The sequence below is a fragment of the Homo sapiens genome, chromosome 16 (assembly GCF_000001405.40).
Source record: "Homo sapiens chromosome 16, GRCh38.p14 Primary Assembly".
NCBI classification, from domain to species: Eukaryota; Metazoa; Chordata; class Mammalia; order Primates; family Hominidae; genus Homo; species Homo sapiens.
In genome coordinates, this window is record NC_000016.10 from 16,107,522 (window position 1) to 16,120,966 (window position 13,445).

The 13,445-nt window shown below is 48.6% G+C and overlaps 1 protein-coding gene across 27 annotated transcripts in view; it reads left to right on the forward strand.

The window, feature by feature from the left end:
• ABCC1 (ATP binding cassette subfamily C member 1 (ABCC1 blood group)) overlaps positions 1 to 13,445 on the forward strand; it is a 193,911-nt gene that overhangs the window by 158,379 nt on the left and 22,087 nt on the right. For all 27 annotated transcript variants that reach the window (XM_047434134.1, NM_004996.4, NM_001438755.1 and 24 more), the window contains 2 exons: positions 3,854 to 4,061; positions 7,245 to 7,555. In XM_047434134.1, coding sequence (XP_047290090.1) covers positions 3,854 to 4,061; positions 7,245 to 7,555 — 519 coding nt within the window. The remainder of the gene's footprint in view (positions 1 to 3,853; positions 4,062 to 7,244; positions 7,556 to 13,445) is intronic.

Consider the following 13,445-nt stretch of genomic DNA (forward strand, 5'->3'; position numbering starts at 1 on the left):
TCAGGTGATCCACCCACCTTGGCCTCCCAAAATGCTGGGATTACAGGGGTGAGCACCGCGTCCTGCCTGTTTTTCATTTCTCATTTGGTCCTAATGATTACGTCCCTGAGAAAGTCCCAGTTGGGTCCTACCCTGCCTTCTCAACCTATCAACCACTATCCTCTCTTTGTAACAAGGAGACCGGGTTTTGAGCTCCTGTTTTATTGTTTTTAAAGATCGTCTATTTTGGGCAAGTGTTAATAATTCTCCATTTATGGTGGTGATCCAAAGTTTATTTTTAAAAATAAATGTGGTTTTTTTTGTTTTTGTTTTTAAAGGGAATGGAATTTTTAAAGTAGGTAAAAAATAAGCATGCAGATAAAGAAAAACAAAAAAAAAAACATGAAAGGTGGTAGCCGGGGAGTGGGGCTGGGGCACTTTCTCTTAGATCTGCCCGGATGTGTCCAGAGCTTCCGAGGACTGTCTGTTCCTGGCTTCTTCCTTAACTTGTCATCAGAGTCAGGACCGTAACAAGGGGCAGAGGTGACTCTGGTGTCCTCTCTCGCCTTACCCTTAGTGACCCTCCAGGAAGCCAGAGAAGTTACCCCAAATCGCAGGACATGGGAAGGAAGGGCCAGAGATGCCAGGCCCATTTAATCCTCATTTAACTCCAATTTTATATTCAAGGAACATCAAAGCCAGGGGGCTTGTTACTTGTCAAAGTTGGACCCAGAGTGGAGCCAGGCACAACACGCTTATCGTTTCTTTGTGTCTTTTTTTTTTTTTTTTTTTTTTTTGAGACGAAGTCCTGCTGTGTTGCCCAGGCTGTAGTGCCGTGGCGCTCACCGCAACCTCCGCCTCCCGGGTTCAAGCAATTTACCTGCCTCAGCCTCCCGAGTAGCTGGGACTACAGGCCTGCGCCACCATGCCTAGCTAATTTTTGTATTTTCGGTAGAGATGGCGTTTCACTATGTTGGCCAGGCTGGTCTCAAACTCCTGACCTTGTGATCTGCCTGCCTCAGCCTCCCAAAGAGCTGGTGCTGGGATTATAGGCATGAGCCACTGCGCCCGGCCTTTTTTTTTTTTTTAATTTGTTTTCTTTTTTTTTTTTCTGAGACAAGGTCTGACTCTGTCACCCAGGATGGAGTGCAGTGGCACAATCATGGCTAACTGCAGCCTCCACCTCCCGGATTCAAGTGATTCTCCCACCTCAGCCTTCCAAGTAGCTGTGACTACATGTGTGCACCCCCACGCTTGACTAATTTTTTTAATTTTTTTGTGGAGATGAGGTTTCGCCCTGTCGCCCAGACTGGTCTTGAGCTCCTGGGCTCAAGTGACTGGCCCGCCTCCCAAAGTACTGGGATTACAGATGTGAGCCACCACACCTGGCCACACACTTGTCATTTCTGACCCCCGAGCCCACCACATTCCACTACTCATGAGAAAGAGGTTCCTGAACGCTGCAGGCTAATTTCAGGGACAGCAGGCAACTTGGCCGCATGACAAAGCCAAGTGGTGAAATAAACACATTCTTAATTATGACCTGTCTCCTCACCCACATTTTTCATTTTCCAGAATGGGGACTTGAAAACTCAAAAGGAAGCAGCCAGTTACACATCAGACCTGTTATCTTTCACCTGTTACCTTTCAGCTAGACCGTAGGGTCAGATGATTTTTGTTTTTTTTTCTGGTGAGGGGCAGAGCCTCACTGTGTCGCTCAGGCTGGAGTGCAGTGGTGTGACCAACGCTCACTGCAGCCTTAAGCTTCTGGGTTCAAGAGCTCCTCCTAGCTCAGCTTCCTGAGTAGCTGGGACTATAGGTGTGGACCACCACACCTAGCTAATTTTAAAATTTTTTGTAGAGACAGGGTCTTACTGTGTTTCCCAGGCTGGTCTCAAACTCCTGGGCTCAAGTCATTGTCCTGCCTTGGCCTCCCAAAGTGCTGGCATTATAGGTGTGAGCCACCGCACCCAGTCCAGATGATTTTCATGACCCAAAATTCAGCATGAAAAGCTTGAAATGACAATGAGCACAGACACGGGTAAAGATCCCTGGAATTTCTTGAAACCAAGTCAGGTGGTTTAGGTGGGGGCTGGCCTAAAGCAGATTGCCCTGTCTCTCATGTCAGGCGGCTAGACACATTTGTTTAGCCCCATGCTGGGCTCCACAGGGAATATAGGAGGGAAAGAAACTCCAACCTTCACCTCCTGGAGCGAACTGGGCACTGGGAAGATGGGTGAGATGGTATTCTGTGCTCAGAGTGAAAAGAGTTGGAGGAGGCTGGCCCAGTTGTGGTGTTGAGGTGACATTTGGCCTTGGTTGCCAGGCAACATGTCACACGTTGCTTAAAACTCATTGGTGGCTTCTGCTTTCTGTCAGTCTTGGCTAAAAGTTGGAATCCTGACCCGAGTCTCCCATGCCATGTGTGGTCTGACTGCGACCGGTTTTTCCAGCCTCTTGTTCCTTGCTGCCCCATGATCTCCTGGCTCCAGCCACCAGTGCCTTCTCTCAGTTCCCCAGATGCACTGTGTTCCCTCCTACCTCAGGGCCTTTGCACATGCTGGTTCTGCCACCTTTTTTCCATTTTCAGCTGGTTTAACTCCTTTTTTTTTTTTTCCCCCTGGAGGCAATGTCTCCCTCTGTCACCCAGGCTGGTGTGCAGTAAGTTTGGCTTGGTGCAACCTCCACCTCCTGGCTTCAAGCGACCCTTGTGCCTCAGCCTACAGGCATGTGCCCCCACGCCTGACTAATTTTTGTATTTTTTGTAGAGGTGAGATTTCATCATGTTGGCCAGGCTGGTCTCGGATTCCTGACCTCAGGTGATCCACTTGCCGCAGCCCCTCAAAGTGCTGGGATTACAGGTGTGTGAGCCACGATGCCCAGCACTCTTTATTTTTTTTTATTTTTTAGAGACAGTCTCACTCTGTCACCCACGCTGGAGTGCAGTGGCGCATTCTCGGCTCACTGTAACCTCCGCCTACTGGGTTCAAGCCATTCTCTTGCCTCAGCCTCCCGAGTAGCTGAGATGACATGTGCCTACCACCATGCCCAGCTAATTTTTGTATTTTAGTAGGCAAGGGGTTTCGCCATGTTAGTCAGGCTGGTCTCAAACTCCTGACCTCAGGTAATCCACCCGCCTCGGCCTACCGACGTGCTGGGATCACAGGCATGAGCCACTGCACCCAGCCTTGGTTTAACTCTTTAATGTCACTTCCTCGAAGAAAACCTCCCCCAATACCTCTCTAGACTGCATTAGGTCAGGTTGTCTGATTTTATACTCACGTGGAATTGTGCACCGTTTACAGCCCTTCTCTGTGATGACGCATTTATCTGGGATGATTTTATGGGAGCCTATCTCACCACGCGACTGGAAGCTCCATGCATGAGGGCAGAGACCCTGAGTTTGTCTCTTTTTTTTGAGACGGAGTCTCACTCTGTCGCCCAGGCTGGAGTGCAGTGGGGCAATCTTGGCTCACTGCTTCTACCTCTGCCTCCTGGGTTCGAGGAATTCTGCCTCGGCCTTCCAATTAGCTGGGATTACAGATGCCGACCACACACCCGGCTAACTTTATATTTTTAATAGAGGCAGGATTTTGCCATATTGGCCAGGCTGGTCTCGAAGTCTCTACCTCAGTTGATCTGCCCGCCTCAGCCTCCCAAAATGTTGGGATTACAGGTGTGAGCCACGGCGCCTGGCCCTCGACTTTGTTTACTGCTGACTTTGTTGAATAGCTAAAGGGGAGGGGTGTTCTACGTAGGAGCAAAGGCAGGCAGCTGGGTGGCACAGTGCTGGTGAAGCCCCCGACCTTGTGGGGCTGGGGCTGGGGCTGGGTGCGTGCATGTGCTAAGCTGCCTTATCTCCTGTGATCTCCAGGTCAAGCTTTCCGTGTACTGGGACTACATGAAGGCCATCGGACTCTTCATCTCCTTCCTCAGCATCTTCCTTTTCATGTGTAACCATGTGTCCGCGCTGGCTTCCAACTATTGGCTCAGCCTCTGGACTGATGACCCCATCGTCAACGGGACTCAGGAGCACACGAAAGTCCGGCTGAGCGTCTATGGAGCCCTGGGCATTTCACAAGGTTGGTGCCGCTGTCTCCCACCCCGCCTGATTTGGGCCCCTGTTGTGGCTTTGTCTAATTATAGAAATGGATCCTTAGAGTCCTCAGCGTTTTGTGGGACCCCAAACCAAGCCAAACCCAGAAAAATGGTAGCTGTCAGCTAGTAGACACTCAGATATTTGTAGAGTGGGTGTTTGAGTGCTTTGTTCATATGGGCCTTGGTGGTAGACGGGAGGAGTGCTCCAGTGTGCCCATTTTACAGATGAGGACAGTTGAGAACAGAGGCCTCTGGAAGCACTGAGGGTTGGGAGGACCCCCTTGAGCATGTTTGCTTTGTCACAGTGACAGAGCTTCCATGAGGTCTCATTTGCGGACTTTTGCCTGCTGAGTGAGGGCGGAAATTGGCTTATACTAGTAATTCCCAATTATGGGCAGTGTTGTCCCTCAGGGATGTTTGACAATATCTGGAGATGCTTTTGGTTGTCAAAAGATTGAGAAACCCTGCTGTTGGCCAGGCATGGTGGCTCACACCTGTAATCCCACACTTTGGGAGGCTGAAGTCAAAGGATTGCTTGAGGCCAGATATTCGAGACCAGCCTGGGCAACATAGTGAGACCCTATTTCTAGAAAAAATAGATAAATAAAATAAACTACAGGTCACGTGGTGGTATGCGCTTGTGGTCTCAGCTACTTGGGCAGCTGAGGTCACAAGATTGCTTGAGCCCAGGAGTTTGAGCCTACAGTTAGACCTATGATTGCACCACTGCCCTCCAGCCTGGGTGACAGAGCAAGACCCTGTCTCAAAAAATAAACAAAAAAAAAAAAACCCTGCTCTATACTGTTCTGTGTGGTCCTATGGGAGTCCTCAAATGCAGCAGCGTTGATATTAACAGCTGGCATTTACTGAGCATTTACTTGGTGCTTGGATTTGTTCTAAACACTTCCACGTGTTTTAACTTATTTTATCCTTGCAGCAGTCCTGTGAGGTAGGAGTTAATATTTCCCTCATTTTGGAGATACAGAAACTGAGGCCCGGAGAGGTTGAGTCAGTTGCCAAAAGTCACACAGCTAATACATGGCAGCATTGGCATTGAACAAGGCAGTCTGGCTCAGGAGCTCACGCTGTTATCCACTGTGCTACGCAGTATGTGAGCCATGTTTGCAAATACACATGTATGGTCCATATGATATATACACAGTAAATGGATAGTCTTGACACATTTGAGTACTTCTGTATGCCAGGCACATTGCCAGGTGGGGACTTCACATTCCACAGTGCTCCGAGGTCAGCGTCATTGTCCCATTTTACAGATGAGGAAACTGAGAGATTCAGTGACCAGTAGGAGGTCCCATAGCTGGTAAGTGGCAGAGATGGGATTTGGCAGCATTGGCTCCAGAGCCTGTTACTTGAGCCCCTGCCTATTGGGTGTCTTCCCGATTAAAGAGGCCGAGATGGAAGCCTCTCTGTTCCTAGGAAGTTGCTGCTCTGGAACACACAGTGCGCTCCTGTGGATTGTTTGAGAGAAGCACCAGTGTCTCAGGATCTCCAGGAGGTGGCTTTGGGAAAACCCAGCGGTAGCAGAGCACACATGGACTCCTTGAGTCTCTCAATCCCTCCCCTCCCCTCTCCTTGCCATTAGGGGAAAGGACTGTGGCCTACAAATTATAATTGAGGGAAGGTAGAGAACAGAGAGGGTGTGGTATTACCTGAACTCACACAGCAACAACGTCTGTTCCAGAGCTGTGCTGTCTGGTGCGGTAGTCACAAGACACAGGTGGCTATTTTAATTTCAGCTGTTAAAATTAAATAAACGTTGGGCGCAGTAGCTCACGCCTGTAACCCCAACACTTTGAGAGGCCAAGGCGGGTGGATCGCTTAATCCAGGGGTTCAAGACCAGCCTGGGCAGCATGGCAAAACCCTGTTTCTACAAAAAATACAAAAATTCGCTGGGCGTGGTGGCGCATGTCTGTAATCCCTGCTACTCAGGAGGCTGAGGTGGGAGGATTGCTTGAGCCCAGGAGGTCGAGGCTGCAGTGAGCCGTGATCACAGCCCTGTACTCCATCCTGGGTGACAGGATGAGAGAGACCCCATCTCAAAAGAAAAATAAAATTAAAGATTTATTCGATTAGACTAGACACGTTTCAAGTGCTCAGTAGCCATCATTTCAGAAAATTATCTCAGCACTGTTCTAAAACAGCGATCCCTAGCCTTTTTGGCACCAGGGACTGGTTTCATGGAAATGGTGGGTGGTGATTTCGGGATGAAACTGTTCCACCTTAGATCATCAGGCATTAGTTAGATTATCAGAAGAAGCGCACAGTCTAGGTCCCTTGCATGCACGGTTCACAATAGGGTTCGCACTGCTAGGAGGATCTAATGCCACCACTGAGCTCACAGGAGGCAGAGCTCAGGCGCTGATGCTCAGGAGGTGACCACCACTCACCTCCTGCTGTGGGGCCTGGTTCCTAACCGGTCATGAGCTGCTGCCAATCTGTGGCCCCGGGGTTGGGGACCCCTGGTCTAGAAGAATATGGCATGGGGATTAAGAGCAGGCTGTCTGGATTAAAATCCCAGTTCTGCTTCTGCTAGGCACAGTATACTAAGGGCAAAGGCGTTCACCTATCTGGACTTCAGTTTTCTTATCTGTAAGTTGGGTAGTAATAGAAGTTATTCAGAGTCATCATAAAAATCAGTTACATGTAAAACCCAGCACAGTGCTTAGCACATAGGAAGTACCCTCTGAATAATAGCTGCCATTATCATCATCATTATTATTACTATTTTTTTTTTTTTGAGACGGAGTCTCATTCTGTCGCCCATGTTGGAGTGGAGTGGACGCAGTCTTGGCTCACTGCAACCTCCACCTCCCGGATTCAAGCAATTCCCTTGCCTCAGCCTCCCGAGTAGCTGGGATTACAGGCGCCAACCACCACGCCTGGCTAATTTTTGTATTTTTAGGAGAGACGGAGTTTCACTGTGTTGGCCAGGCTGGTCTCGATCTCCTGACCTCAAGTGATCCACCCACCTCGGCCTCCCAAAGTGCTGGGATTACAGGTGTGAGCCACCATGCCTGGTTCATCATTATTATTATTATTAGAAGTTGGGAGTCCAGGCCTGCCTCGTCCACATGGCCACTCCTCCCTGCAGTGCCTGGTCAGCTCCCTCTCTGCATTGTGGAGTTTTAACTCCGAGTGTCTGCAGGGATCGCCGTGTTTGGCTACTCCATGGCCGTGTCCATCGGGGGGATCTTGGCTTCCCGCTGTCTGCACGTGGACCTGCTGCACAGCATCCTGCGGTCACCCATGAGCTTCTTTGAGCGGACCCCCAGTGGGAACCTGGTGAACCGCTTCTCCAAGGAGCTGGACACAGTGGACTCCATGATCCCGGAGGTCATCAAGATGTTCATGGGCTCCCTGTTCAACGTCATTGGTGCCTGCATCGTTATCCTGCTGGCCACGCCCATCGCCGCCATCATCATCCCGCCCCTTGGCCTCATCTACTTCTTCGTCCAGGTAAGGGGTGAGGTCTTAGTGTTCGGGACAAGCCCTACTGTGCATTATATACCAGTGTTACCTAAAGCCTTGTTTTATCTTACCATGTCCCCAGTGTGGTGCTTTTGAAGCATGTAGATTTGTTTTTGTCAGTTTCGAATACCTAAATTGTTTTTTTGCTCACAATAACAAAATGCACTTTTTTTGTGGAATGCAGTTTTTTCCTAAGTTTTACTTTTCCACCTGTCAATTCAAAAAGGAAACAAAACCTATCACTATAAAGACAACTTCATTATTAAAATTTCTTTTTTTTTCTTGAGACAGAGTCTCGCTCTGTCACCCAGGCTGGAGTGCAGTGGCACAATCTTGGCTTACTGCAACCTCCACCTCCCAGTTCAAGTGATTCCCCTGCCTCAGCCTCCTGAGTTAACAGGTGCGCACCACCACGGCCGGCTAATTTTTGTATTTTTAGTAGAGACAGGGTTTCACCAGTGTTGGCCAGGCTGGTCTCAAACTCCTGAGCTCAGGTGATCCACCCACCTCGACCTCCCCAAGTGTTGGGATTACAGATGTGAGCCACTGCGTCCAGCCTAAAATTTCTTCAAGTATAAAATTCTTTAGTTCTTAAGCCTCCTGCAGGAGGCAGGAACTAAACAAAAAACATGACTAATAGCAGCCTAAATAAGATAGACGTTTTCTTTTTCTCTGTCATAATAGAAATTTAGAGGTAGGCTGTTCAGGGCTGGTATGGCAGCTTCATGAGTTTAATATCCCAGATACCTGCTTTTATTTAAAAATTTAAAAAATCTTACCATATTTATACAAGCCTTTCATTCTTTCTTTCTTTCTTTTTTTTTTTTAATTTGACATGGAGTCTCGCTCTGTCGCCCAGGCTGGAGTGCAGTGGCGCGATCTCGGCTCACTGCAAGCTCCACCTCTCGGGTTCACACCATTCTCCTGCCTCAGCCTCCCGAGTAGCTGGGACTACAGGCGCCCGCCACTACGCCCAGCTAATTTTTTTTGTATTTTCAGTAGAGACAAGGTTTCACCATGTTAGCCAGGATGGTCTCAATCTCCTGACCTCGTGATTCGCCTGCCTCAGCCTCCCAAAGTGCTGGGATTACAGGCGTGAGCCACTGCGCCCGGCCCCTTTCATTCTTAAGTTGGCCTCATGGTCCAAGGTGGCTGCTGGAGCTCCAGCCATTATATCTATATTTCAGTCAGTGAGATCAAGGAAGGGAAGTAGGGCAAGGGAGCATATGGGTGCTGAATCAGCACTACTCCCTTATCTGCAGGCACACATTCTAAGACTCCCCCAATGGATGCCTTAAACTGCAGATAGTATTGAATCCTACATATCCTGTTTTTTTCTGTACATACATACCTATGATAAAGTTTAATTTATAAATTTGGCATAATAGATTAATAGCAGTAATTTATAATAATAAAATAGAACAATTATAACAATATGCCAGTATCACTACTTCTCCACATTAGAGGCGTTATTTTTATTACTTTTTTTTTTGAGACAGAGTTTAGCTGTGTCCTTCAGGCTGGAGTGCAGTGATGGAATCTCGGCTCACTGCAACATCTGCCTCCCGGGTTCAAGTGATTCTCTTGCCTCAGCCTCCCAAGTAGCTGGGATTACAGGCATGCGCCACACCCAGCTAGTTTTTGTATTTTTAGTAGAGACGAGGTTTCACCATGTTGGCCAGGCTAGTCTCAAACTCCTGACGTCAAGTGATCCGCCCGCCTCAGCCTGCCAAAGTGCTGGGATTACAGGCATTGACCCACTGAGCCCAGCCAGGGGCATTATTGAGTAAATTCGGATTACTTACCCATAAGCACTGCAGTACAATGGCCGTCAGTCTGATAACCGATATGGCTATTAAGTGACTAAACTGACAGGGAGGGTCTGCAGCATGGACCTGCTGGACAAAGGGATGATTCACACCGCGGATGGGACTGGGGGGGATTTCATCACACTACTCAGAAGGGTGCACAATTTAAAACTTACACATTATTTTTGGACCACAGTTGACCATGGATAACCGAAACCATGTGTGTTAGTTTGTCCTCATACTGCTATGAAGAAATACCCAATACTGGGTAATTTATTAAGGAAAGAGGTTTAATTGACTCACAGTTCCGCATGGCTGAGGAGGCCATGGCAGAAGGAGAAGCAAACATGTCCTTCTTCACATGGCAGTAGGAAGAAGAATGAGAGCACCACGAAGTCGGGGAGCCCCCTTATAAAACCATCAGATCTTGTGAGAACTAACTCACTATCATGAGGGTTGGGGGAAACTGCCCCCACGATTCAGTTATCTCCACCTGGTCCCTCCCATGACACATGGGGATTAAGGGAACTACAATTCAAGATGAAATTTGGGTGGGGACACAGCCAAACCATATAACCACGGAAAGTGCAACCTTGGATTAGAGGGACACCTGTACATCTAATTGTCCAGAACTTAGTCATGGGACCACCTCTATTCACAAGGGACCCTGGAAAGTGCCGTGTTTTAGCTGGGCACATTGCACTTCCCAGCAAAAACTTTCAGTTGGGCCTAGGCACGGTGGCTCACGCCTGTAACCCTACCCCTTTGGGAGGCCGAGGCGCGTGTATCACCTGAAGTCAGGAGTTCGAGAGCAGCCTGACCAATATGGTGAAACCCCACCTCTACTAAAAATACAAAAATTAGCCAGGTGTGGTGGCATGTGCCTATAGTCCCAGCTGCTCTGAAGGCTGAGACAGGAGAATTGCTTGAACCTGGGAGGTGGAGGTTGCAGTGAGCCAAGATTGCATCACTGCAATCCAGCCTGGGCAACAGAGTGATACTCTGTCTAAAAAAAAACAGAGAAGTTTCTGTTGGGAAAGGAGAAATTGTGTAGGCAGTCAGTCGTCTCTGCTGCATCCCTTCTGCAGAAACGGTTATATGTTCTTTGTTCTTTGAACACATGTGGTTTCTTAGGATATCGCAGGATAGATAATGTTTTCAATTGACAGGTGGAGCATCTTGCTAAGTGGGAGAGCTGAGAGTGCAACCTCAAGTCTGTCCAATTCCAAAACTGCTGTTACCGCTAAAGGATTAACCGCAGCACAATTGCCAGTAGGGATGGGTTGTTTAGATGGGAGCATTCCAGCTGCAAAGCAAAACAAGAGTAAGAAACCATGAGGCTCACCATATCTCAAACCACGCTGCACAGCTGTTCAGGTGGCATCCAGGGGGCCTTGGTTCAATCATGTGGCCCCTGCGCCCCACCACACTGTGGCCCAATGATTGATGAGAACGAACAGTGATGGAATCAGAGAGAGTAGGTCCAGTTCCTGGAGTCTCGTTATATCCTCTTGAAATTGGTGCCAGCTTTTTTTTTTTTTTTTTTTTCCCCTGCATTTACCAAATATGTTATCTGTGTTCATACGCAAGCTGGAAAATTTCCTGAAAGACCCAAAAAGAACAAAACAGGCCAAATGCAGTGTTGAAGGCAACTTAAATGTCTGCCAATAGCAGGACCTTGGGTACACCGTGGAGCAATGTGGCTTTGAGCAGGGATAATTAGAAGACGCAGCTGTTGGAGCACCAAGGATTTTTATTTTTCAACAACAAAGGAAATGATTTTAGCAAAGGACCAAGTTCTAGGTGCACTGTCGTTATCACCGAGATGAAATGCATAATGTGTGTGGGCAGGACTGGAAGGGAGGCAGATACATGAAAACATCGTCTTTTTAAGGGTTGAGATTATAGAATAGTTAATTTTTTAATGGCTTTTGGCTAAATTTACATTTATCCTCTCACTAGGCAGTCTCATTCCTAAGTGTATATTAAAAAAAAAAAAAAAAAAAAAAGAGCAAAGGCAGTGCTTAGAATGTTCTCAGCATCTTGATTCATAATCGCCCAAACTGGAAACAGCTCAAATGTCCATTAACAGGACCGTGGAGAAATAAATTGTGATATAATTATACAATTTATGGTTGAGTAGTAAAAAGGAATGAAATGCTAATACACAACAATTTGGGTTTATCTCAGAGATGTTATAGTGATCAAAAGAAGCCAGACGAAAAAGAGTAGGTACTGTGAGATTTCATTTATATGAAGTTCGGTCGGGTGCAGTGGCTCATGCCTTTAATCCCAGCCCTTTGGGAGGCCTAGACAGGAGGATTGCTTGGGCCCAGGAGTTCGAGACCAGCCTGAGCAACATGGGAAAACCTGGTCTCTACAGAAAATACAAAAATTAGCTGGGTGTGGTGGCGTGAACCTGTAGTCCCACCTGCTTGGGAGGCTGAGATGGAAGGGTCACTTGAGCCTCGGAGGCGGAGGTTGCAGTGAGCTGACATTGTGCCAGTGCACTTCAGCCTTGGTGACAGGGCGAGTTGTCTGAAAAAAACATCAGATCGGCAGGGCAGGTGGATCACCTGAGGTCAGGAGTTTGAGACCAGCCTGGCCAACATGGTGAAACCCCATCTCTACTAAAAATAGAAAAATTAGCCAGGCACGGTGGTGGGCGCCTGCAATTCCAGCTACTTAGGAGGCTAAGGCAGGAGAATTGCTTGAACCTGGGAGGCAGAGGTTGCAATGAGCCAAGATTGTGCCACTGCACTCCAGCCAGGGTGACAGAGCGAGACTGTCTTAAAAAATAAAATAAGATCATTCCTGAACAAATATTCATCTCAGGTTAGATTTTTCCAGTAAGTAAGGTTCAGAGGCAGTGGCAAGTGGAGGAAAGTGAACAGGTAACACACTTGAGAGCGATTTGCATCTGGATTGTTCAGAAAGCAAGCTGGTAAGAGAGGAAGGAGATGTGGTCCAGGGTAAGATGGGGCAGATCACCTGGGCCTTCAGCCATGCAGAGGGGTCTGGATTTCATGGGAGGCGGTGGGAACAGCTGGAGAAGAAATTATATCTGATCCACATTCCAGGAATTGGCAGAACAGCTATTCTGAGACTGCGTGGGGTTGTGCGGTACCTGGGTTCACTTACATAGCTTCTGGGGCCCCAGAAGACTCTCCATCTGTGGGTTGCAATTAACGCCCGTGCCGCCACCCAGGAAGAAGCTGCCAACCACAGAGGCCTTGTAAAAGCCACCTGCTGCTATTGATGCTTTTTGTTGGACTCTGCCCCAAAGCAGCCCAGTACACCTGGCCCAGGGCAGGATGCAGGGAGGCCGAGTTCCTAGCAACCCTTTGTTAGTTTTCCCAGCTCTCCTGTCGATAAGCAATTGTAGGCACCTTGTGGAATCAGGAACCCCGGGCTCACCAGTTCCTTTTGCGTAGATGAGAAAAACCTAGGCTAGGAGAGCGCAGTGTCCTCACATGGCTGGTGCAGCCTCTGATCCACAGCTCCACAAAGCTTGCAGAAGGTGGTTGGCTTTTGTTCTGAATCTAACAAGACTTATCGGGAGGCTCTTGGTGCCTGGCACTGGCTGAATGCCCAGGTTGGGGGAGGCAGAGCAGATGAAGCATCTGCCCGCGAGGGTGGGTGGAGCTGCTTGTGAAACGTATCATCGTAGCCCGGGAGCTGGGACACTGAAGCCCGGAGAAGGTGCTCATGGAGGATGGGAAGGGCTTCCCGAGGAAGTGACATCTGTGCTCCCATCTGCTGGGTGATGAGGAATGGCCTGGACGGGATGGGCATGGTGGGTGGAGGCAGGCGGCCTGTGTGCAGGGAAGGAAGGGGAGAGTTACAGGATGAGATGAGTTGAGGGAAGAAGCATGGTTGGCAACTCTAACAGCGCTGGGAGGCCATCGGAGGGGGGTGACGAGATTGACCCTATCCTCATGGGCATCTCAGCTGGGCTGAGTGTGCTGGAACCGGCCATTGCATGGACACAGTCACTCCTGAGGGGATGTGATCAACAGGCGGAATTCTGTCACTTAATGATAACAATAGTCACCAGCTAACTGAATGCT